Source organism: Homo sapiens, chromosome 4, assembly GCF_000001405.40.
Source record: "Homo sapiens chromosome 4, GRCh38.p14 Primary Assembly".
Lineage (NCBI taxonomy): Eukaryota > Metazoa > Chordata > Mammalia > Primates > Hominidae > Homo > Homo sapiens.
The window spans coordinates 81,030,531-81,057,627 of record NC_000004.12 but is presented as its reverse complement, the minus strand read 5'-3'; the positions used below and the strand labels follow the sequence as shown (position 1 = coordinate 81,057,627).

The window sequence follows — 27,097 nt, the reverse complement described above, 5'->3', positions numbered from 1 at the left end:
TTCAACTCTATGCTTAAGCTTTATTACCTCTTTTAAATGCAGCACACTTGAAAATGTCTGGAAATATAGTATTTCCCAATAAGTAAAAATGAATGGTCAATGAAGCAATTTTTATTTCCATACTGTATAATGAATAGCTTTTCATTACTGAAAGAAAATGATACAAATTCAACAAAGCTTATACATTGGTAGTGAAGTATCCTTCACAGTTTCACTGCAATATACCCTCTAAGTGGATTTGACTAAAGAACCAAACTGCATTTTGCATCTAAAAACTGTAGTAAAAAGGAATTTTTCTTGCTAAAAGTATTATCATAATTAAGGATGAAAATTATTATTATAGGAAGGCAATAGTCATTAAATAAATTAAAAGCATCTTTGAACCTTTTCCATATACATATATTATATATATATATATATTTAAAATTGCCATTGACTGTACAAGTATTAAACATTTACAGAAACTGTGGAAAGCTGAAGGGAAGGACTGGCTTTTAGAAAACAAGGATCATTTTATCACTTATAAACTACATTAAAATACAACTCAGAGGAAAAAAGAGCTATACAGAAAAGTCCAACTTACCCAAGATTTCTTATTTAATCTCTTCTTTAATCTTACACATCAGGTGTGCATAGCTATGCCTAACCCAACTTTGATTCAATAAGAAGTCAATGCCCAGACATTAGTTACTTGTTAGCACAGAGAAAAGTGAAAGCAGAAAGACTAAACTGAAAAACTAAACTGAATGAATTATACAAATATTTTTAATAAATCAGACTCTTAGCAGTATTACTCACATTTGATTGCCTATGAAAATATTAAATGGGCAATAAGAGTTTTATTCAGAAATATTAAGGTAAAAAATCTTAACATATAAATGATCATCAGTTAATATACAGCAAAGGGAATGTAAAAATTTATCTGGAATGTTATAGTCCTGAGATCTGAGGAATCCAGTCTTCCAGTTTAAGTTCTACAATCCCAAATCCTGTAAATTGTATATTATTTACACAGGTTACAACAAAGTATTTTTAAAATATTCTAATTGACTTTGGCAGTCCCTTAATTTGAATTCAAGAGAACAGTTATTGAGAAAAAGAATTCTTTTTATCAAATAAAAAAATTAGCCAGGCATGGTGGCGGACACCTGTAATCCCAGCTACTCAGGAGGCTGAGGCAGGAGAACTGCTTGAACCTGGGAGGTGGAGGTTGCAGTGGGCCGAGATCACGCCACTGCACTCCAGCCTGGGCGACAAGAGTGAAACTCCATTTAAAAAAAAAAAGAAAAAGAATTATTTTTTTCAGTAACTGACTGTGTGTGTGTGTGTGTGCACACTGCATGGGGTAGAGAGATTACTTGTGGGGGAAGAGAGAGAGAGAGTATTATGCATGATTTAGCAAATGGAGTTTATAATTGTAGCTTCTCTTTTCATGAATGCCAATTTAATAATTTAATATCAGGAGATTTCTAAAGCTTCTGTGTAGGAATTATACAGAAACTAGTACCTAACAATTTGTAAAACAGGCACTTACTAAATTTTCTAACTACTCTTAGTAAATCTGTATTAATTAAAATATTAATACATTTACTTCAATCTCTACTACTGAAAGATAATCTTGCTTTATTCTTTGGGAATAAAACTCTTCCAATTTAAACCATAATACATCCTCAATTCATTAGTAAAATGATAGTTACAAAGCACCCAGAAAAACTGCTGGTTAAAACCTATTTCCATTGCTAAGAGATTACCCAAGTTCTTTCATTGTGTTGTAATTTTATATCAATTGCTACTTAAAATATAATCTTAACTAGTTAGTACCTGTAAATTTTATTATGTAGTGGGTTTTTGGCCATTGTGGGGTGCAATCTGTAATAACTAGGCATTGATTCAAATTAAGAAAGGTAATAAACAGGCATTTGGATATAAGAAGGCTAAGAAGTGATACTGGGAATTGCCAGAAGTTTTGGTTGATACAGCTCTAGAAAAAAACCTAAATTTAGAATTTCACCAAATCTACCAATGAAAAAGTTTTCTTTATTGAAAAACAGTACGATCAGGATGGTGGCCACACTCTGGCCCCCTTCTATCATATACTTTTATTTTCAAATGTTTGAGAACATGTATTAAAAAGTAATTTTATCCTCCATCTCACTTTGAATCTTTAATTTTATGCTACTGTAAGAACTAGAAGAAAGCATGGTAACTCAGGCACCAGAACTTCACTCATTTTTTTTAGAACTGGTGTGTCTCACTCACAGAATTAACACACACCCACACCAACATTTGTGTACCCCAAGGTGTCAAAGAGCTTCTTTTCATGAGTTATTCTTTTAATGGGTTTGCAATAAAATACCACTTAAACCAAAGCGAATGCCATACTAATTTACAAACAGCGAAGTATAGGATGTTCTTTCATTTAGTTTATTAAAAGAGGGACTTACAGTGTTTTTATATCTATCACTATCATTCCTTCAAGGAAGACGGGTGTGAAATAGCTGGAATTATAAACTTAACCCTTCCAGCTCATGGCCAGCCTCTTCATTTTACCAGTGAGGACACTAAAGACACACAGGTAACACAGTGCCTTTCACAAAATAGATGCTCAAAACATATTTATTAAATGACTGAACCACCATAATTAGCTACAGGCAGAGACAGAACAAACTCCACGTCTTCTGATACTGCACAGCCTCCAAAATGGCTGAGATATTTCTAAGTATCAGATAAGACGGAACTAAAATGAGGATTAACCACAGATTAACACCAACAATGATCTACGGCCTGAAAGCATTTCCATCACACAAATAAATATAGTGAGAAGAAGGATATTGAAATAATTTTGAAGACTAAAGTTATAAGAGGACACATATATGTATGTGACACATAGAAATGGAAAGCAAAGACAAACAAGTGTCTATATTTGATTCCCATACCTGACGAATAATGTTTTGTAAGCTTTGCTAACTTGTAGATTTCGTGACTGAGCCAAAAGCCCTGATCTATGTGAAAAAGTGCCTGACTTAGATGTGACTGAAGAATGATATTCAATATTTGGTTATGGTTAAATTGGTCATTTAAGAAGATCTTCAATATTCTACCAGTTTTTGGGCCTCAACATCTACCAATAACTTCATAGGAAGTAAAGGCATATCAGGAGAATTAAAGAGTTAATGGCTTTAGGAAGGATTTTTAAATTCAATTTAGAATAAATAAAAGCATTTGTGAAAAAGAAGTACAAAAGAGGAATTACACTTGTGTTTTCAAAAACTAGGTTTCTGATTCCTTTTTCTGGTAGGAAATGAAATGAAAACAACTGTATTTGCAATTAAATAGCTGGGTCAAGTGGTAACTCTCTGTATATGCTCTTGAATTATTCTATCATATTTGGCAAAGTTCTTATAACTGAATGGTGTTTGCCAAAATACAAAATTAAAAAAAATAAAGAATCCTGTGTAAACTGAATTATAAAACCATATTAAGCAAACCATCCTACAGAGGGCACAGGCACCTGGCGCATGTACGCACATACATACACACTAACGCTCAGCATAAACTTTCCATTACACTTAGACAATGACTTGTGGAGGAAAAACAAGGATAAACAAGAGTCTCAAGAACTTAAGAAAAACATCAGAGTTGATTATTTAGCACTTTCTCAGGATTCTAAGGCAATAAGCCTAATTCAAAACGCGAAATTGTTCTCTATTTCCCATTAGTCATTAAATGAGATAAATGACAAGCTATTGCTGCTTCTCCATTCTGTTTTCAAAGAACATTACAAAAATAAACCAGTGTGTTCTCTAACAGTTCTAAAAACAGTTTGATAAGTTGTTGTGTTTGATTACAAAAAGAGAAATAGATGTCCATATTTACTAAAAATCTTGCTTTAAGTTACATTCAGAAACAAATACAGTTCTTTTCCTTGGTGGCAATCTTCAGTCTATTTGCTCATTCCCCTCTGACTATAGAAATAATCTTTTGAAACAAAATGCATTGGCAGTGCAAAAAAAAAAAAAAAAAAAACAGGAAGAAGTCCATAAAAATAAACTAATGATTGAATTAAGCATTCAAATGAGTTCTTTGCCAGGTTATCTGCAAGCGCAAGACTCTACTGTCATGTTAGGGTATACTTTAAGCACTACATTCTTATTTTCATCAAAGAATAAAATACTGAGTGAGGACATCTTTTCTGGTACACAGCAAGGCTCAGGAATCCCAGGAACGACCCCCACAGCTCTCACTATACTCTGGATGGTAGCATGATTTGATGGCTTCAAAGACTAGAGAAAGAAATGAAAGAAGAACACATATGTTAGGTGGAACTGCGTTTCCACTCCTCAGTCCTCATTACACAAAATGCTTATCTAATGAATTTGTTTCAACAATTTAATAAAACCTCTGGCATCATTATACATTAAGCCCAATCGCCTATCCCACCACTACCAAAATGGTTATTATTTATTAAGTGCCTGCTGCATTCCAGGCATATTATATGTAGTATCTCTAATTCTCACAACAAAGCTAACATTTCTTACATTTTACAAAGGCTCAAAAAGCTTAAACGACTTATCTAAGTTCAAATAGCTTGTAAATGGTAGAGGATTTAAACCAAGTTATCTCAGCAAGAATCATTTAATTACAAACAACTTAGCCCCCAAACATGGAATTAATACACTCTACGGTGTTTTCAATAACAGGATTGAAACAAAAAATGATTCGTTATTGACCCTACATTAATCAAAATCCTAACAAGCACTCTATTTAACAGAGATACATTATTGCCACTGCTATATTGATATTTAGGCATTGTTGTTAAAATAAAACCAAGCAGGTCAGAGGGGTATTGATTTATTTAATTTAATAGTTGCCAAGATGGATTGGATGGTTACTATTCCACTATGTAATTATTCAACTCTCCTTAGAAGTACAAACTGGGGGGTAAGAAGACCACACCATTGGCCACTGGGGGTCACTGTTGCTCCACTGGTTTAGAATTAGGCATGGAGTTGTGTTCTAAGAGTGGGCCACGTCCTCTGGGAATTCCCTCTGGGAATTATGAGGGCCTAAAGTTATCCTATGGATACCAGAACTTTCACCAAAGAAGCCTGAGTAAGAATCTTTTCCCTGAGAAAATGCCAAATGGGACCACTAACATTCATGTGAAGCATGTGGTTTTATTTAGAGAACCCCATACAGCTCTGCTCTAGCTAAAAGTACTAAAGGAACAGTCATTTTTGCAAGTCCAGAATGTTAGGTATTGCCAGAGTGGTAAGAACTTCCTAAGAGATGCCCCACTGTGCAACACCTGTGTTTCTCGATTCCTCTTTTAGGCAGGTGAAAGTAGTTTTGTTTTAAACACATTGAGAAACAGAAGTTTGGTAACTTGCCAGAGACCAATTCAGGAGTAGGACTTTGACCAAAACTTTCGCTTTTTAATTTCAGAACTTTGAGCCATGTTTCTCATGGCTCAGAGGAACCCCGCCCCAGTGGATTGGTATTTTAATTTCAAACTCCTAAAGCTCCCAGCATGGGAAACTGGAACAAGTTAAAACTTTAAGGGTATATACAAACCAAGGGAGAAGACAATAATATAGAAAGCAGGCATACTCTTAAAAAAAAAAAGAAAAAAAGGATTATTTTTGGCAGAGAAAGGTTAAATCTCATCCCATCTTTTAATATCAATGAAATAAAATCCATACATCAGACTTCAACTTTATTGTGATTAGGCATAAGTAACTAAATAATTAGACTTAATGATGGGCAACTGTTCTTACTTTTTTTTCCTAGAGATTTTCAGTATATGTTAAAAAGACTGGTTAACTTTGAATTAATTAGCTTTAATTCATTACAAAGCAAGTTATTCCTCCCTTGAGGAGAGGAAGTCCATGCTGTTTTATTTTGCACATTGTATGCCCTGCATCACCAATAATATCTGTGTAACTTACACAAACTACAATCAGTATTGTACAACAAATGTCAGTAGCCATTGCTTGTTATTGCTATTGGTAATTTCTAAAGAAAGCTTTTGCAGCCATCCACTTTTCTCTACTGATTTAAAGTTATTTTTATGACTCAATAATCTAAATAGCTTGTCATAAAGCGAAAACTTTTAAACTAGATTTTCCAAAATTATTCTGTTATTTTAATGTTTAATGACTCCTATAATATTTGAATTTTATACAAAGTGGATCAACTTAATTAGATGAGACCTTGGGTGCTAAATTCTCCTGTGCATTGCTGTTCCTGAGCACCTAGTATAATCTAGGCATGGAACAAATGCTTGTTAAATGGATGAAATACTTAAAAGAAACAACATACCCTCCATTTTTATCCATTTCTGTGGAAATAGTTCCTATCAACACAAATACAAGTTTCTGTGCAAATGACCTGGTGTAGATATGGATAATATTCATGGGTGTTTCCTAGGAAAATTCCTGTCCTTTTTTTTACAGCTTCAAGTAACAAATGATAGATTCAGAAACTATGAGTATATGAGTAGTCTCTAGTGGGCTCACTGGAATTTGGACAGAAGCCCCTGATTCTGCATTGGTGTATCTTATCAGGAACCTCTCAGATTACTAGGAAGTTTCCCCTGCTTTTTTTTTTCTCACTATGAAATCCTCTGATCAACCTGCCATTAACAGAAATAATTACATCGTGCACAAAAGATCCATCCGGTAATTTGCTGGTGTAAAGCATATTGCCAGTCCGGAATTTCTGTTTGTTTCTGAGTTCAGGTCATGTTTCTCATGACTCTTTATTAAACAAGTTAAAAAATTAATATATCAATTACTAATGCATATCTGTGGTATTTGCCTTACCAGCTCTTTCTAATGAGGGTGAAGCACGACTTCAATAGCAGTTAGGTAATTTTTTGCTTAAGTAACTTAGCACATCAAGATTTAATGTTTTTGGAGTTCATTTTTATGACCAGAGATTAGAATTGGAAGATTCAGGAAATTAATTGAGGTTGTATCATTTTGAACGCATTAAATGTGAATTTCTTCTTTGTATGGAATACTTGGTTCAAAGTGTTTAGATTCTTTGCTGCCTAATTCTATGTGTTTGCTATTTATAGCTTTTGCAAAATTCCTTGAAAAAAAAAAAGCAAAACTAACTTCTCTTGGATCTTTGTCAGTGACAACAGCTCAATCACTTTCATTTGAAATTTCTGTTTTCCATCTCTTCTAAGGTGATGAGGAGAGGCAAAGGTATAGAACTTGGCATTAACTGTATGGGTATTTTTCATCTCATGGCAGAATTCCAAGAATCTCTCTCTGGGAGAACAGATTGGCTGTAAGGGCTAGAAATCAGAAAAATCCAAACTGCCGTGTCTGTGAATGAAATCTACAATGGTCAGGCCTGCACCTGCCAAGCCGTGTATGATGTCCTCGAGTTGAATTTGATTACAAATGCATTAGCAGGGGAGAGCATGTCATCAGCTAAGAGCCTTCATTCCTGACCTGGGCCATGGAGTTTTACTCCACAATTCTTCCAGTCCAGCCCACATGGGTGTGATAGCCCAGAAACTATCTAATTGGAATCAGTGAAAGGGCAAAGCCTGGAATTTGGGAAAGGCAGAAAGAACACAGCTGTTCTGAATTAGAGAACAGGTTGTCAACTTTTGCAGACAAAAAGCCCTGCCATATAGAACACTCTTTGGCTCAGGAGGCCAAAAGAAAGGAGGGCCAACAAAGCAGTCTAGCCTGGGGGAACTTTCTCTGGGGCAAAAACTATATCTAAAGTCTGAAAGGTCTTTGGCACCTCAGTTATTCCACATGTTTTGTACTGATCTGACCAGTGGCCTTGATTCTCCTCTGTTGCTTAGACTATATTTTTATTTACAAAGTTCACTCTGGTTGCAGTATTGGACACGGTGCAGATAACAGGGATGTTTATTAATTACCCCTAATGTAGCAGCTTCATTTGGCTGCATGTTTCCCATCTTTTTGGTCACCGTACCACTTGAAAGACACAAGGCGTGGAAGGCTTAAAGGGAACCACTAGAAAGCTTTAAAAGTTAAACAGATACACACAAGGTGATGAGAGATTGAGAACTCTATGTAACAGCCAAACTTCCACTCTCAACTTGGCAAAAGGAAATCTGAAGCTCAGAGAGAAAGCTCCACACTTATCCCTGTTATGTCTCCCTGGAGTTCTGATGCCCTTCCAAGTTTTGACAAATATTATGATGAGTTCAGTTGCTGCAACTGATGCTCTCCTGATTCTCTTACTCTCCAAATAAACCTCCCTGGAAGAGCTCACGGGCGGTTGAATGCAAAGGGAGAAACCTATTTTCAGCTTTGTGATGTTTGAAAAGGGACTAGAAACATTTAGAAAACATTTTCCTGCCTTACAACTTTTATTCTCTTGATCTCGTTTCCTATGTAGTCTTTCTTCAGAGTCCTACGTTTGCTTTTCTTTCTCCTCAGTCTCAGAAATGGCCGTGAATAATAATGCCAATAACAGGTATTTATTGATAACCTACTATGTGCAAGGTGCTCTACTGTCTCATTTTTCCACTGTTTTTGTTATATAGAAACTATTATTTTTACTATTTACTATTTGACCCATTTCAGACTGTAAAAATAACTTGTAGAGAGTCTGAATAACTTCTCCAAAGAGTCATAGCAGGTAAGTGGTAGAATCAAGATTCAAGTTAAAAGGATTTGACTTTTATTTTTGCTACTCAAAGTGCAATTTGTGAATCAGCAGCATCTGCATCACCTAGGAACTTGTTAGATATGCAGAATCTTAGGCTCTACTCCTATATCCACTGGATCAGAACCTACATATTAACTAAATCCAGGGCAATTTGCCAGGACATTAAGGTTTAAGATGCCCTGCTATGACCAAGCGTGTACATTTAATTATTCTTCTGCACTAACATACTTCTCTCCTTAAATTTATTTCTGCTATTTTTACCTTATTCCTCATCAATTCTTAAATTATTATTCTTTAGATCACTGAGAAACATGATGGAGCTCTTCTGAAGTAACAGCAGGTTTCGGAACAGTAAAAGCAGGTAGAACCAATAAATGAGAGGGACAAATTGGAAGTAATTGTGGTGGGGTGGATACCAAATCAATTCTCCAGAGCTAGAGGTTCAAAAGCAAACTAACAGAGTATCTCTGCATTATCATGGCTTCCTGAGTCCTGAAGATTGTAGTCAGGAGAAAAGGGAAAAACTACTTCCCCAGGCTACCCAGAATATATTACCCTTTATAAGTGAGAGGGATTATTTGGAAAACTTCGAGACCCAACTAAAGTCAGTCATCCTGGGTTTAAAGACAGATATTGAAACCATTCTTGCCTCTCAATGCCACAAGGCAAGCCACACTGTAAAATAAAGACTCATCACTGCTTGTTACATTTGTCATCTTTGTTGTGTGTGTGTTTTTTCATGTTATCTCATTTGAACAACTTTGTTTGATCAGTAAAATATCCTTTATGAATATTTAGACAAGATAAGGCTCTTTATATAATTGCAAGTGTATAGAATTCGTACTTTGTGTTTGGGTTTATGAAACATAAAATGATCAAAAATCCTTGGGAAAGAAGGGGTCTTAGAGAAGTATTATTACAAGAAAATAAAATTTCAATCAAGTTTGTGGCCCTGAAAAGGCTAACCCAGCCTTGTGCTGTCAGCCCTTTGCTTTTTTTTTTTTTTTTTTTTTCTCTTCAGAGTCAGGGTCTCGCTGTCTCACTCTGTCACCCAGGCTGGAGTGCAGTAGTGCAATCAGAGCTTACTCCAACTCTTGGACTCAAGTGATCCTCCTGCCTCAGCCTCCAGAGTAGCTGGAACTACAGGGGCATGCCACTGTGCCAGACTAAAGCCCTTTGCATTTATGTTTGTTATGCTTGTCATCCCAATGATTATAACCAAGTGCTACACTTGGCTAGAACATGAAAACGCTATTTTAGAGATGCATAAGCAGAAGTTGGTCATTTGTTGAGACAAAGGATTTTTTCTTCATTATCATACAATAGCAAAAATGGACTTGTTTCAAATTTTGAAAGAAAAAACTGTATTCTTCCTCTGAATTCTGTTCCTTCAGCAACTTTTTTTTTTTTTGGTATAACAGAGATATAAACTGCTACAAGCTGAGAATGGAAGTGCACCAATAAGCTTAACTGAAGGCTGAAGAGTGCCACTATATTTTACTATAGAGGGTACTACTTAAACTGTAAATTCAAAGAGAACAGTCACTTGAACTTGCCGTGCAAGTTGGAGGTGGGGGTTGGAGAGACTTCTGCAAATATATTTGTCAGGAGACTGAGAACTGATATGATGAAGTTCAGACCTTATGGATTTTCGAGGAGATACAGGTAAGCTCCGAAAGGTTGAAATTAGTCTTGGCAAAAGTTTACAGAGTCATCATATTCTATGTTGCTTTCCTTTTCTGATGTTTAGCAATGAAGCAAATGAAATAAGCACGTAGTGGATTTCATGAGGCCAGTTTACCTGAGTCAATCCTGATCCTGACCTCTGTGGGGACAACTTAGCTCACAAGAGGGTATTTATTAAAACATGTTCTGCATTAGGGCATCAATCCCATCAGCTCTTCTCTGTGCTCCCATGACATTCACTTATTCCTTGAATACTCTTCCAAGGTCAGCCTTCTACCATTTGGGGCTTGCTTACATGGACAGGTGCAGGTTCACACACAACCATGTGGCTGAATATGCACCATGTTGAGAAGCAACACAACAAGTATGTTTCACACATGTTTTTTTCTCATATCCTTCTTTATACCAATACTGACTTCATATGACTTTAACAACCATTAAAGAGAAACCAAGAATAACCATATTACCTATTATGGTTTAGAATGTAGTAAATAAGGGTCCCAATGGATTTTGCAAATGGAAACACAAACACTTACACAAACCCCCTATATGCACACTAACTTAGTCAATGTGTCTTTCTACTAATGGAAATAGGAAGTAAGTACAGGACAGAGAACAATGGCTACCTTTGGCATGGGGAACTGGCATGCTCCAGAGCAATAATAGGCATCAAAGGACTTGGGGGAGATAATCCATTCACTCCAGCCAATATCTGCAAAGTCTACCTTGAGGTATCTCCTGGCGCAATTCCGAGGTTCAATCCACTGCTTTCTCCTTGCCTTTTTCAGGGTCTGCTCATCAAATTGGAGCGTCTGGCTCTTCCGATGAGGCCCCTTTCTCTGTTTCTTTTTATTCTTACTCTTTTCAGGGGCCTGAGCCTGAAGGGTCTTGTAAGGCTTTCTCTCCTCCCACACCTCATCCTTTTTATACTGGTATTCTGCCCCAGGAAGCTCGTTGTTCTGCAGAGGCAGCAAGACCCCAGTAGAGCGCTTCTTCCTCCGCTCAATGGAAAGGGCAGCTCTGATGTGGCTATCCCATTTGGGAACAGTTCCAGTGGGAAAATTCCGGTGTCCCTGTAAGCTTGATACCACACTTTCTGGCTCAGAAATGGCGGCATCATTGGCATATACCAAGATATAAGGCTCTGGAAAAGGTAACCTCCTCTTTGGCAGCTGGCGTCCCTTGGACGTAATGTTAAATCCTATGAGGAACTCTTCATTTTCTTTGGCCTTCCTCAAGAGTTGAGTGATATCTTTAGACAGCCAGGACATAATATCTCGATGAGATTTGGCCATATCCACTGACAGATGGCCAAGGAGTTGACTTTGGTTTCTGCTGAATTTGAGGGTCCATGCAGAAAGATCAATCTGAATGTGTTTCCTCTGAGCATGATGGGAGCATCCTCCAGACACTGGACAACTCAGGCTGATGTTTCCTAGCTCTCCAATACAGAAATACAGTGTGGCAGACAAAATGTTTTCAGACTTGGTTAGCGATGTCAGATTGAAGATATACAGTCCTTTTCTTTCAAGAGTTTCTAGGAAGGAAAAAGAAAGAGAGTAAACAGGAGAAAACAAGACCATTACTTCACTATATGACAATTAACTCAAAATGAATCAGAAACCTATATATAAGAACTAAATCCATGAAATTTTTGGAAAGAAACCTAGGGGTAAATCTTCATGACTTTGAATTTGGCAATGACTTCTTAGATATGAAGCCATTCTTAGATATGACACCATAAGTGTAAGCAATAAAAGAAAAAGTAGATACATCAATAAAATCGGTAAATTTATAAAATAAACTGGACTTCATTAAAATTAAAAACTTTTGTATATCAAAAGACATTGTCAAGAAAGTGAAAAGACAACTTCCATAATAAGATAAAATAATTGCAAATCATACATTTGATAAATCTAGTATCCAGAACATATAAATAACAGTTACAACTCAGCAATAAACAGACCAAGAAACCAAATAAAAATGGGAAAATGCCTTGAATAGACATTTCTTCAAAGAAGATATATAAATGGCCAAGAAGCACATGACAAGATGCTCAACATCATTAGCCATCAGGGAAACACAATCAAAATCACAGTGAAGTACTACTTGATACACACTAGGATGACTATAACAAATAAACGAAAAAACCCAGAAGGTTACTGAGAAGGTGGAGAAATTGGAACACTCTCAAATTGCTGGTGGGAATGCAAAATGGTTCACCTGCTGTGGAATACTCTTTGGCAGTTCCTCAAAAAGTTAAACATAGAATTATTATGATTCCGCAATTGCTCTCCTATGTATACACGCCAAAGAATTGAAACAGGCACTCAAATAATTACATGGTTATAGCAGCACTAGTCACAATAGCCAAAAGTTAGAACAGCTCAAATGACTACCAATGGATGAATGGATAAAGAAATTGTGGTATACCCATACAATCAAATATTATTCTTCCATGAAAAAGAATGAAGTACTGACACATGCTACAATGTGGATGAACCTTGAAAAAACTATGCTAAATGAAAGCAAGACATGGAAGATCACATATTGTTTGATTCCATTTATATGGAATATCCAGAATAGTAAAATCCATAGAGACAGAATCAGATCGGTGTTTGCCAGAAGCCAAAGGGAGGGGCTAATGAAAAGAAACTCCTTAATGGTTACAGGGTTTTGTTTTAAAATTGTGGAAATATTTTGGAACTATATAGACTTGGTGATAGCACAACATTGTGAGGGTATTAACTGTCATTATATTGTTTACTTAAAATTAGTTAAATTTATACTATGTGAATTTCACCTCAATTAAAACAAAGCAAAACAATTATGCAGTCTCTTGCTTTGGAGGCTTCCTGGAAGTGGAATAAAAAGAGAGTAATAAACAGGAATAATTTTAAAAGACAAAAAAAGGTTAGCAAGGATCAGCCATTTTAATTACTTTGCTCTTTCCTTTACTGAAGCACCATAAATGTGTGAAAATTTTAACGGAGAAATAAACTTAAAGGGGTGAAAGCTCAGAGTTATGGAGGATTGTCAAGACTTATTCCTACAAATTTGGCAATGTATTGTAATAGCTTTTTATCTGAGGCACGTATAGCCTACGGGCTACAAACACAGGGTTTGGAATTACACTCACCTTGATTCGAGTACTCGCTCAGCCACTTACCAACTTCACAACATTATACAAGCTAATATTCTCATTCACAAAATGAGACAATATCTACCTCCCATGTCATCAGAATTAAATGAGACATGTATAAAGCAGTCCATAAAGTGTCTGTGAAGTGTTTCTTAAATATCAATTATTATTGTTATTAGTTCTGGTATTAACAGTCTTACAGGGATTACATCTTCTTCTACCTACTTCAAAAAATGTAGGATGAGGCCAGGTGCAGTGGCTCATGACTGTTATGCCAGCACTTTGGGAGGCCAAGGCAGGTGGATCATTTGAGGTCAGGAGTTCAAGACCAGCCTGGCCACCATAGTGAAACCCTGTCTCTACTAAAAATACAAAAATTAGCAAGGCGGTAGTGGCACACACCTGTAATCCCAGCTACTCGGGAGGCTGAGGCAGGAGAATCGCTTGAGTCTGGGAGGTGGAGGTTGCAGTGAGCCGAGATGACACTACTGCACACCAGCCTGGGCAACAGAGTGAGACGCTGTCTCAAAAAAAAAAAAAAATTGTAGTATGCTTGATAAGCATTGGGTAAGCAGGATCCAACGCATCTCAATATTCAAATAATACATCTGAAAAAATAAGGCATACTGCAAAAATGTCAAAAAAGAAAAAAAAAGAATGCTGTTGTGGAGCTTGTTTGAAGTTTATGACATTCCATAAATTTAAGAGTTAACTTTCTATATAGTGCAACAAAAATGATTAAAATTGTTCACCCATACTTCCAATTCTTCAAATCCAGAAATGAGAGAGAAGAAGAGAATGAGAGATTTATTAATAGGTGCAGAATTTGATTCCTCTCCTTTAGCTCATAAACCGAGATCCACAGGACTGAGGTTAGAACTCTGGAATCTCCCATCCTGGGATCAGTCACCAGAGCCTAAGCCCTTCTCCATGCACTTGTTTCATATACATATTTGTTTCAGAAACACACACGCAATCGTGAAATTATGTTCTTGATCAAAAACATGTTTCAGTAAAAACAAAACATTTTTATAAAGATGTGGAAACTTAAAATGAGTTCATTGAGTCCCCAAGCACAAGGGAAGTGCAATGGGAAACATATTCTATTCATTTTTAACACTGTGTGAAGGAAAAGGAGGAAACTGCCATTGGTGCACATTTGTATAATCCATGACACCAGGATAATATTTTACAGACCTTTATAACAAAGCCATGGCATCAGGACTGTTCAGAGACTTGAGCCTTAATTCATACCAGTCACCGGAGCATATACTTTTACCCAAATTTCGTGTAGTAGCTAGAAGTTTAAAGTGGAAGGAAGAGAAGCCACTCTGTTCTAGGTATGTGGCAATCCAATGGTTGCCAAACAAACATGCTGGCAGGGAATAAATGATCTCCAAGGGATATGAGTGGCAGTAACTTAATGGGTAAACCAATCCTGCCCTTTGCCCCACATTTTGCTTCAAAATATTTTCTTCTTTCAAACATGTTTCCTTCTAGTCACCTTGTGACCTGCTGTTAATTAGCCTCTACCTCTGTGTCTAATCTACAACATCGTTTTGTAAAAGTCTCAGAATCTGTCTTACTGCCTCTTCCAATGGCTCTCATTTTAAACCAGTGCTTTCTTATGAAGTCAAAGCCTGTTGGTCCAGTTGCAATTTCACTACAACCAATAGCAGCCCTCAGACAAATAACCTAAGCTCTTTAAGTTTTGGTGTGCTTATCTATAAAGTGGGTCTAGTAGTAGCAACTATAGAGTTGTTGCGAGGATTAATTGAGAGAAGGCACATAAAGCACACAGAAAGTATTCAATAAATGTTAGCTAACTAGAACTGTGGTTTCCAGTATGATAGTATGTAGCCACTTACATTCAAATTGAGATGTGCTGTAAGTATAAAATACATACTGAATTTTGAAGACTTGGTAAGAAAATGAATATAAGATATCGTAGCAATACATTTTATATTAAGCCAGTGTGTGTTAAAGTGACTTTATTGAACTATATTGCATTAAATATATTATTAAAATTAATCTCACTTGTTGCTTTTCACACTTTGAAATGTGGCTACTAAAATTTTTAAATTACATATGTGACTAACATTTGTGGCTCCCCTTATATCTCTATTGGATGGTTGTGGTCTAGAATAATCACTAGTTTTGTAGTCAAAATGGAAAGGAAAAAAAAAAGACTATGCCATGATGATAATACAAGCTGCCGAAGGTGTTAGCTATGCTTGGAGCAGAATTGGGAGCCATTAACTTTACCCAGGTAGAGGCAAAGAAACACACAGGTAGGAAGTAATCTTTGGACCAGACTTTTAAAGATGAAGGAAGAAAGAAATCTTGGTGAGGGGATGGAAGGAACACATTCTAGCAGTATGCAATGCTGTATGTCTGGAAGCTTTTGCAAAAGAAATGTTGCCAATGTTTTAAATAGAAAATATAAAAATACTTACAATTAACTTAGTTATTGAAGTTCTAGTAGTTCTATAGAATTGAAGTTCTAGTGAATGTCTAAGTCATCCAAGTTGAGCAAGGAATGGCCAATCTGAAGGCTAACCAAAGGCATTATGTTATGCCCAACACTTGATGTGTTTGCTCTTGTTATTTCCACCTAGGCTAGGGATCTCTGCCTGTTCTAGGTCCTCTCCCTCCTGGGTTTAAAAAAAACCAAGAAGCAAAACAATAAGCTAGAATTATCAGCCATTTCACAAAGCATTCATTGACTTTGACTTTTCTAACCCATACTTTATTTTTGCCTTCTCTGATTCTAAAACACTTTATTTTTGTGTAAGTTAATGATCTTCTCTCCAAAGCAACTTAACAAATAGTTGCTGAGCATTTACAATGGATGAAAAAAATTGTAATAAGCGAGCAGCATGGGGTCAAGTGAATGTATATAGAGAAGTAAATAAGAGTGAGGTAAACGGCTTCCTGCAAATAGCAGTGCATGATAATATCTACTCAATTACTTTCATGCTCTTTTACTTTTTAGATTTTATATTAACTTGTAAGGTGAGTAACTTTCCATACTTATGAACAGAAGATTTGCATTGTCTCTCTCTTCCCCATGAGTTGTAGCACAGCTTTATCTATGCACACAAATATCTACGTTTGAATATCAGTAAATAAAAAATACCTTAATATTCACCTTTTCTAGTCTTCTGAAATATTCAGATACTTATCTATTGGGAATGATTGAATCAAAAACCTGAAGTGTACTTCCTGATTAATAAGAGCAAACCGATATAATAATGATAAAAAAAAGGGTGGATTTTTTCAGGTTACAAAAAATACTTATGCGTTTTTAGGCTGTGGATAGTATTCGGTACTAGAAAATATTAATTGTATGCTACACTGATCATCTAAATATATCTGGAATTGCATGCCTCATTTTGGGTGCTCTCATTGTAACCAGTTTATTAATGCAGAAGAGAGCAACTTGGAAAGTAACCCAGATGTTGAGGGGTCTGGAAACTATCTCATAGATTTGAGTTGAATAAATAAGAAAACATTGCCTGGAGGGAGAAAAAAAAGTTTAGCAATGATATGAGAATTATTTTCCAATATTTAAGGGACTGTGGAGAGATCAGGGTTTTTCTTTCCAGTGTCAAAGATGAGAATGCAGTCTAACGGTGATAGTTAAATGGAGGCCAAATCCAAGCCAATATAAGTCATGACTTTCAAACTGTTTTACTTAGTGAGATCCATCTGTGGGACTGGGGCAACTGGAGGTAAGTCAAGACTATTACAGGAGGATGTTTTTATGGTAGAGTAGAGTGTGAAAGTGAACGAGAGAACGTCTCATCCCTTGCAAGTAACTATAACCGGCTTTGTTTTCTAGCTTTCCCCAAAGAAATATTTTGATGCCAAAATGTGACTACCAATAGGTGGTGCTATTTTCTTACTGTTTGCTGGCACTGGCACATGGGAATGTATTTATTGCAGCCTAGTTAGGGTTTACCATTAGCATTATAATCTTATATTTTGAATTTTCTAGAGTTTTAACACCTGAGAATTGAAAAGGAGGTTGGAAGTCAGGTGAGTTTCTGAACAAGCTATACTCTCTTTTACACACTTGTTGGGACTTTGCACCTGTTGCTGCTTCTCTCTGCAATGTCTCTACCCACGATTTTTCTCCTTGATAATCCAGATTTGTTTTTTAAGGCAAGGCAGAGATACCATTCCTGGATGCAAGCTTGTCATGACAACCCATTTCCTTGGCTAGGATCCTGCCTCTATTACCATTTTCATTACACCTTTGCTCCTTCTTAAGGCCATAAGTTCCTTAAAGACAAGGCTCTAAATTATATCAGACTCTTCAGCCTCCAACACAGGGCTTGACCCTAAAGCTTTTTTTATATGCATGAGCAAATTTAGTTCAACCTACTCATTAGAGAAATGCAAACATGAAGGACCCTAGGAGTTAGCAAGCTAGCTAGCAATTGACTTTGGAGAGAAAGTCAGATAGGCGTTTTAAAAGGAGTTTGATTATTATATAAAGGTAGAAGATTTATTTCTGTTTTTATCTAAAAACAAAGCACTTGAACCTGATGAAACCAAGGACTCATTTCAGGAAGTCGGGTTCTGACTTCGGGACTTAAGGCCAGCCATGCTATTGCAACACTTCAGTGCCTCTCCAGGAGTAGCTGAGGCTGTGTCCAGGGAGTGGTAAGGGGAAGTTCACCTTTGTGCTGGCCCACACAGAACGTTTGCAAGGGGAATTAGAACATACAATGGAAAGCTTTCTATGTAAAGTCTGATTTTAAAACAAATAGACTAAATGAAATCTTGATGATTAGCTAAATCCCCAGGAAGCAGGGAAAACATTTTAGTCATACAGAAAATATGTGACAAAGAACAACCACCTCCCGCTGCCCCAACTTCTTTCTTCAAACAAAATACAGCTGCTAGAAATGCCAGGGGTGCCTAGGACAGGGACACATCCACCCTCAGTCACTGGCTGAATATTTGCTGCAGATTACTTAGTCAAGATTGCAGCATCCCTGTGCTGCCTTTAACTTTCAGGCACAGGCAAAAGGAAGAATTCTACAAAGAACACAAAGTCATAGAATTGTGTTTCTCCTTCATAGTCCCAGTCAAATGACTGTGCTTTATGGGACCTCAAAACAACCATTCTCTATGTCCAAAGTAAAAACAGCCAAAGATGATATGATGTATGTTTTTCTAGAATAGTAAAATGTTCATTAATCAGTTTATCTACTCTTAGCCTCTGCCCAAAGGCATTCCTAGACTGTGAGTGCTGAGAGGGCAGACCTATGTTCTATAGATCTTTGAATTCCTAGTACTTCACACAGCCTGGAGCACTTAAGTCCCAAAAGGTATTTGTTAGGTGTGTTGAATGAACAACTCTCTAAACTTAACAGATTTAAAAGTGTTTCCTACTTAACACCAAAGCATAAAAACTTTCAAGTAATTTCAAGTTCCCAAAATCAGCAAGAGCCCTTCTTGGGTATAAATACCATATGATATTTCCTTTCAGTTCATTAGAAAAGAATTATTATAATCATTGTATATGAAGTAGAATAGTATTGCCATTTAATATATAAATGGTAAAATGCCCCATAAGAAATTCCTTCAAGGCAAGTTTATTTTTAAAGGATATTTGCCTGGCTGATAGCTTTTGAACTATCTCATCTTTTCTCCTGAATATGTAACTCAACTCAACTGAAGTATTTAGTGAGTGTCAACTACATGGCAAACTGTGCTAGGTCCTCAGAACACAAAGATGAATTGAGATAGACTCCATGTCCTCCAGGGACTTGCTTTGTAGGCCCCTGCTCATACCATATTTTTCTTCTAGCAAATTTATTATATCATAAACTCTCTGCAGCTATGAGTGAAGGGTAAGCAGTCTTGATTAACTTATTTTGAAGACTTCTTTATGGCAAAACCATCATAAAGGCAGTAATATACCTTCTAAGGTATATATTTTAAAAAGCTTACCATTATATAAGTCAATAAACCATTTGTTTATGGATAGGCCCACTAAAAGGGCCAGATGAGATCAGGAATAACATGATAATCAATTCTAGATTTTAAGAGGCTGGTTTTGATATAAAATACTCAAAACTCTAGGGACAGAAGCTTAGAGCAGTGTTTCTCAAATATGGATCAGAATCTTGTAGATGGCTTTTTAAAACACATATTTCTGAGCTCCGTCACCAGAGTTTGATTCCGCGGGTCTAGTATGGGCTAGAGAATTTCTAACAAGGTTCTAAGTAATACTGATGCAGCTAGTCCACGAACTATACTTTGAGAACAATTAACTTCAAGAAATCTCTCTAAAAAAGCATAACCCTACACCCCTCAGCCACCATGGTCAGGACAGAAAATAGTACATTTGTTGAATATAGGTTTGGGATATCATAGATTGCACAGATGATTACTAACTATTTTTACATCATCATCTGTGCTACAGACAAGTACATATTATCAACATTTGAGATATGTTTAATGCTTTGTGGAAAGCCAGAGGGAAATAATCTCAAAATATTAAGAATGTTAGAATACCTAATTTATATAGGACTTCAAAACTTTTAAAGCATCTTTGCATTCACTTTGTCAATTGAGTTTCACCATCTTTCTGTGAGACAGGCACAGGAGGTATAACTTAACCCATTTGATAGATGAAGAAACTGAGAATAGCAATATTAGATGACTTTACTTCTTAGCGGTTCAGCCAACCATGGAAGTTAGATCACCTAACACTTAGCTTTAGGTAATAGAAAAAACAAAACACTAATAATCTTTTCTCTACTTGAAAACCATTTCACTTAACACCAAGTACAGCAATTACCCTTAATTCATCTTTAAATTAATTTCATGCAACTAAAGAGAAAGGTTTTTGAAGGAAAAGCAAATAATAGTATGTTGGACAGTTGGTTTAACTGTAAAATGAGGGGGCTGAACAAACAACCTTATATTTTTAAATTTATTGAATGTAATTATTTTATAAAAGAGATATTTAACAGTACCTTAGTAAAGTAAAAAGAACTAACTGAAGCTAGTAATAAAGTGAGATCATTTTGCACACACACATATTCATGGTATGCCCAAATACAATCAAGGTACTGCATTTACCATGGTTCTATAGCCATGAAAAGATGGCTTTTAAAGAAATATAGATCATTGAAAGAGTCAATAAAACCACCGTGGTCATTTGATTCTATGATCTACATGCTGATGTTTTAGATAAACAAAGAGGAATTCATGCCTTTAAAGTATCATCCCTTAAAATGTGTGTTATCCAGGAGTACTGCTGTATATGCCATCATGCTAAGACACAACCACTGCTAACATGTAGATAAACTAGTAATTTTATTGGCTGTTACATATATTCCATATATGAAAGCTTTTTGGGTTACATTTCATCTTTCACTACTGTCAAAAGTAGATATGATCCAGGTATACTTGTATTACTTGATTAATATAAAGTCAATATTTCTATTACAAATTCTATTTTCATGGATTCATAACATAATCATAAAAATTTACTCAACTGAAACATGGCATAGAAAAGTCCGACTTAAGGTTATTTGTGATGCCAAATGTCTTTCCACTACTACCCCCAAAATAAAGACATTAAGACACTAACTGATTATTAGTATATACAAATTTAGCATATGGGAGAATCATCAAAATTTGGGGAGAGATGTTCTGTTACTGAAGCACAAAAATCCTGACTAGCCAAAAGAAAATATATAACAAGTTGCTCAAGCATTTTCATAAGGTTTTTTGATAGGTGTGATATTTTTATTATGCCTATTAAATATAACAAACACTGGGGATTTATAATATAAGGAATTTGATTGACATCTTAAGTAAATGTGTCTTTCATCAAGGTAGTAATGGTGATAAAACATTAATAAAGTGATATATATGATCATTAGTGAATTTTTCCACAAATAAACTAGCTTTTCTTTTTAAAGCATAATACCTGTGTGAAACAATGAATATTAATCTTATAGATGAAAATAATGAAGGAGAACTCATAAAGATATAGGAAAAAATAAAATTTAATGACAGAAGATATCTAAAATTACATTCAGAGACGTTTATGACATAAAAGCAGGAAGATGGTACAATGCCAATTGAACCCAAGTCCAAAATGTAATAATATAAGTTAACATACTGAGATAGGTACTGCATGGGAAATGAAAAATGAGACAGTGTTCCGTTGAACCACTGTTTTCCCAACTAGACATCTTAGAAGGACATTTCTGTAAAATGCTTTCTCCAGGAGAAAGTATTCGCCTTTTATGGGGACTCATTAGCATTTAAAGGTCTTGAAAGGTCCCACAGCAAAGAAAATTGATCACGTTTTCCAAGTTTGACCATGAGGCCCAATTTTATATAATACCTGTTAACATCTTGCAAAGACCTGTTTTTGTGACATGTTCTCCTACAAAATTAGATTTGGCTATTAAAAATAATAGGTTTTGAGATGAGCTCAGTATGTTTGAAAAATTATCTGGCAAATACATCATAGTACTTGCTTCTGCTTCCATTAAAGGAAGGACTTGTTTTCTTGAATGCTTCTTCCAAATATAAAATTATATGATGCAAAAATGCTTAAAAGCAGATTTGATATTCATGTCCCTATTTAATTTTTAGAAAAATCTGAACTCATTCAATCAAATGCTTACGAGCTTCCACTACTTAGGTAAAATGTATGTAACCTTCTAATTCATTCTGAATTATTTATCTATTTCTAGTGTACAAATATTCCTTGAGTGAATTATTTGCTTAGGAGATTTTTTTTTCATTGACCCCCATGGTCAATGAAACACTTGGTCTCTTCAAGTGTTTCTAGCTAAACAACAAAGTTAAACTTAAATTTTTTTATATGTAATTCATTCCCTTTCTCCTTTGCATTAGCATGAATAATGAAGAATTCATGACATTATGATGTTTTAAATGTCAGAGATTATGAAGCTGTCTTGCTTGTTACAGTAAAAACTTCATTAAAGGCTATCATGTATTCAGAGTAGTGTGTAATTCAAAGCAGCTGCACACCCATCTCCTCTTCCCCAGATGTACTATTGTCCTTTAAATGAAAACATCAGATTATCCAAGTACTTTTAAATTTCAAGCCTAGTTTCTAGGTGCCAGGCACTTCAAGGTAACTACATTTTAATAGTTTTTCTAGTCCCTTAGCATCAAACCTATCAAAAATGATGTTTTCCCACTGGTTCCATATATTTTGAAGGAATGGCTCCTATTGGGATGATCATTCAACACTTAGTTATATACTATCTTTGCCGAAGCCTTATATTTTAGCCTTATACTTCAGAAACATTTCAATATTATAATTACTTATCTTAAAAGTACTTTGGTCATAGGAGGAAAGAATCTCCTCTTCCTCATTGCAGGAAAATATTCACTTGTGGGGCTGGATTGCCTCAGTTATTTTTTTAAATCTATGAAGTATGTGAGATTTTTTAAAAGGTGATAAGTACTCACTAAAATGTGCTATTTTGGTGGGTGCATGTCATGAATAGTGAAAGTTTCCTAACAACATGTGTGCTTTAATTGTTTTTCCTAAAGAGATTATATTTGTCATTAAGAAAAGGAAGATTAAGTGACTATGGGAGTCATGAGAAAGTGATGATCCTAAAGTATCTTAAAAGATCAAGACAGAAGAAAAATTCATGTAAAATATTCTTCTTTATCATATAGTAGCCAGAGACAACTTAAACCAAAATCAAAATAAATGCTAATTTCATATCCTTCTGTCTTCCTTCACATGGTGTATTTTTATGAAGCTGACCTTCTCTGTCACTAATAGATTTTGTGAATTACCTTTTGCAAAGGGAAAGATAAAACCTATCTTTATGTAAACCCTTCCACATGACAAAAAAACTTACAAGCACTCCAAACTTACGGTTTTGGCACACCAACTACATAGCATTCAGGGAGGAGAAAAGGGTTTAGCAGAAAGTGTATTTAGGATGAATGCCACCCACCATCAAGTAATGGTTTAAGTAGAAAGTAATCAGAGGGAGACCACAGCAGCTAAATTTCAATCGAAGATATTCTAGGTTTAGAACAATAAATAATTTTAATCAGGTATGTACCAAGGCACAAACAGGACTCTAAAGCTATAACTCAGCCTGAATAAGCACTCAGAGGCTGCCGGATCAGCAGCTGCCCCATACACAGCACACCACCTGATCTTCCATTAAAATTTCTAACGTCTTCAGTACAGAGAAACCCATATGTTCTAAAACTTAAAAACTCTGGACTGGAAAACATATCTACTATATTAATTTAGACAGCATCTTTCACCTACAAGGGAACATATGTCACAAGGTGAAAGGGTGTTATGGAAATGCTGATATGGATGACGAGAGAGGGACACACATGAAAACCTTAGCACCTTCCTAGAGTCCTGCCTTATTAGAGCCAGAACTGCCTTATAATAGTCTTTTTAGTGTGTTAGTAACTAAACACTCTTGGAAGGGGCCCAACACGAACCACCTCACCAGGAGCCTCAATGAGGTAACATGACACTTAAGCTTCCACAAAAACCAGTGTCTACATTTGATGAATAAGTCATTAAGACAGTCTCTAGGATGCTAAAGGGATTACTTTTCTTATCAGGGCACACAGCCTTGTATATATGCATCAAGCTGCAACTCATCGTTTCAAGGGAATGTCTGGCCTCCATATCAGAGTTTATTATTTGATGCTATGAGACTACAGTGAGGCTGATAAGGCACACTCTGGAATACTGCAAGGAATGAGTTGAAGCCAAAAAGAATATGGTGCCTGAGTTGTTAAAATCTTTATCCATGGTTAACTTGGCCTAAAACAAATAAAAGCTATACAATACGTGAATGAAACAAATTCAAATTCTACCTCCAAACCATGTGGTTCATTCTATAAATGAAACTTGTTAATCCCAAACATATTGTTTTTTATCTTAGGGGCCTCAGCTACTCCCTAGCAATATAACCAAGAAAACAAATATCAAGATAAGAGTCATTTGAGTACCTTCATTTTTGCCACCTGCCTAGCTCACCCAACTTCCTTTCAATCCTTGCAACTCCCACATGAGTTACTCACTGAGTTATGCCCCTAGAGTTGCACTAAAGTAAACAGAGTATTCACTGGTGTAGTCAGCTGTCAGGACAGCCTCCTCCAATGGCTAGGATACTGTGGATAACACAGAGCAGGTTTCTTTTTCCTTACTGGTGGCGCTCTCCTCACAGATCATGCTCATGGTTTTAAGAAGAAAGTAAAATCTGGTTCAGTTCAGTCTCTAGCTAAAGACTTCTGTATTAGGAAGCATAATTCACATCTATTGTAAATGTCATCATGCCTGTAAGCTCTAGAATATATTTACACAGACAATGCAGGGCTTTCCTTGATGAATGCCTTAGTTTTCCCTTTTTCCAGGAGTCTTGCATATCAAAACTTTGGGAGATTTCTTTCTAGTGATTCTGACAGTATTGACTGAGGCATGGCCTCATTTTCTTGAAGATTCTTGGCTATTGTTCAACTGTTCACTGAAGACAGGCTTTGCAGTTACATTTCCCCTTATCATGAATGTAGTGAACAAAAAAGCCTGGTGAATCCTCAAAGCATAAAAACAGAGTTAGTGTCCAGGAAGCTTTCCCTCAAGCTGTTAACACAAGGGAGGGAGGCTGTTAGCATAAGTTATTCCCTTCACCACAGGGGCTAGGAGAAACCTTGTTAAGCCATGAATTTCAGTCCGAAGTGATCTGTGCTGAAAAATGGGATGAGCAGATTTTCTTGGGCAGATTCCAAGAGGTGTTTACATCCAGGGTTGCTCCCTCCCCTTGTCTCCCAGCTCCTCCCAGGATGGATGGTACAACCCCTGTTTACCCAGATGCGTTTTAATAATCGAAACACCCAAGCACCTGTTTTTTTTTTTTTTTTTTTTTTTTTTGCCACTAAGGAACTATCAAGTAAAGTGTCAAATATAGTACAGTAACACAAAGGGCGCGAATTAGGAGCGGGTGCAATATCTGGAGAAGCGACTGGGGAAGGAGAAAAGGAGAGGGGAAGGCGTCTTATTCAAGTATGATTTCTCTCGGGTCCTGGCATTGGCATAAAATGGCATCTGCCTCTTAGTAAACATGGCTAAAGCCCAGTCCAAAGGAATTTCCGCTGGCCGATTTAGGAATCAACAGAATAAGGTACCCTAGAGGTGCTCCAGTCACTCAGGGCAGGAGGCCTCACAGGCATGGGGTGTCGCCCCTTCCCTTTTTCCACGAAGCTCCTCCAGCCTACCCCTCCACTGCTCCGCGCCTTCATTCTATTTCCCCCTCTCACTTTGGATTTGAAAACTGGGCTTACAGGAGATGCAGCTGGCGACACGCGGGGTGTGACTGGACGGAGGAATCCAGAGGGCAGCTGAGGAGGGCGGAGAAAGGTCCCTAGGCAGCGCCACCAAGCAAGGGGCAGACAAGGAAGCTGTGGGGGGTCCCGGGAGAAAGCTGGGGCGGGACCGCGGGAAGGGAGTCTCACCTCGCGCACTCACCTGCTGCTGCCGCCCGAAAGCTGCGAACCGTGTTGCCTTCGCGCAGGAGCCGAGGGCGCCAGGGCTGCGAGCCTCCCTCCAGGGAGCCCGGTGTCCGGGCCGCCTGGACCGTGCTGTACCTGTCATAGAGCCGCAGCATGTGTTCAGAGACCTTGTCTTGCGGCTGCAGCTCGGAGTCCGGGCCACCACCTGCCGTGCGGTCACCTGGCACAGCTTTGCGGAGCTCCGGGAAAGGTGGCTTCGGTCTCTCTCCCTGCGCCAGGCTCACGCAGAAGCAGCCCAGCCACAGAAAGAGCAGCCTGCTCGCCCCAGCCATGGCTAGGTACCCGCGCGGCGCGTCGGCTCCCGGCGTCGCTGCGGGACACTCCGAAGGCGCAAGGAGCCGGCGGCGGAGCCGAGGGTTGAACTCCAAACCAGCTGGGGCGAGGGCGCACGGAGCCCGGGACGCGGCCGGGTGCAGCGAGATAGCGGCCAGCCCCACTTGCTGCGCTGACCCAGCGCAGCCTGACAGGTGGGCTCTTCCCCAGCAGCTGCGCGGACCTCACCCGCGCAGGGCGCTGCGGGCGCCGTCTCCACTCCAACGCTGAGAAAGAGCTGTAGGTCGCGGCGTGTGTGGCCCGGGTGTTTTCAAGATCTGTCTGTACCTTCCCTCCTCGCTTTATTTTTGGGAACACCCGGCCAAACTGGCCGCGCGAGGGACTAGGACTAGCTCTGTTTTGGGCGCCAGGTCGGAGCCGGGGCTGTGCGCAGCGGTCCGGAGGGCGCTCGATTGCCTTTTCCAGGGATTGGAGCAGCTGCGGCGCGGCTGGTCCGAGTTTTTTAGTGTACGTGTGTGTGTGTGTGCGCGCGCGCGCGCGCGTGTGTGCGTGTGTGTGTGTGTATGAGAGAGAGAGACTTAGTTCTTTCGCTCTCTAGCTGATCTGTAGAGTCCTCAGCCAATCTCTCCCACTCCCTCGTCCTCGCCCTCTTAGCTTGCACCAGGCTGGGATAGAAGCAAGGGAGGGGGGGAGTAACCAGAGAACTGGCAGCGGGAGGGAGAGAAGAGGAAGTAGGGGTGGGGATGGCTGGGG

At 37.6% G+C, this 27,097-nt stretch overlaps 1 protein-coding gene across 2 annotated transcripts, besides 1 other annotated feature; it reads right to left on the bottom strand.

Annotated features, from left to right (window-relative positions):
- BMP3 (bone morphogenetic protein 3) lies at positions 1 to 26,920 on the bottom strand. Of its 2 annotated transcripts, none has more exons than NM_001201.5 (3): positions 26,028 to 26,920; positions 10,980 to 11,890; positions 1 to 4,283 (listed from the first exon to the last, which is right to left on the bottom strand). In NM_001201.5, exons 1-3 carry the CDS (start codon positions 26,341 to 26,343, stop codon positions 4,092 to 4,094), a joined length of 1,419 nt encoding a protein of 472 aa, NP_001192.4. In that variant the 5' UTR covers positions 26,344 to 26,920; the 3' UTR covers positions 1 to 4,091. The 2 variants fall into 2 exon arrangements, with proteins under 2 accessions (NP_001192.4, XP_006714354.1); XM_006714291.4 differs by having other exon boundaries at positions 11,079 to 11,890.
- Positions 5,301 to 5,350: a silencer, noted in NCBI's record as "silent region_15523". NCBI's record gives its function as "represses an Ori minimal core promoter by ATAC-STARR-seq in GM12878 lymphoblastoid cells {active_cell/tissue: GM12878}" and the evidence as "EXISTENCE:reporter gene assay evidence [ECO:0000049][PMID:35858748]".
- Positions 26,921 to 27,097: the final 177 nt, after the last annotated feature.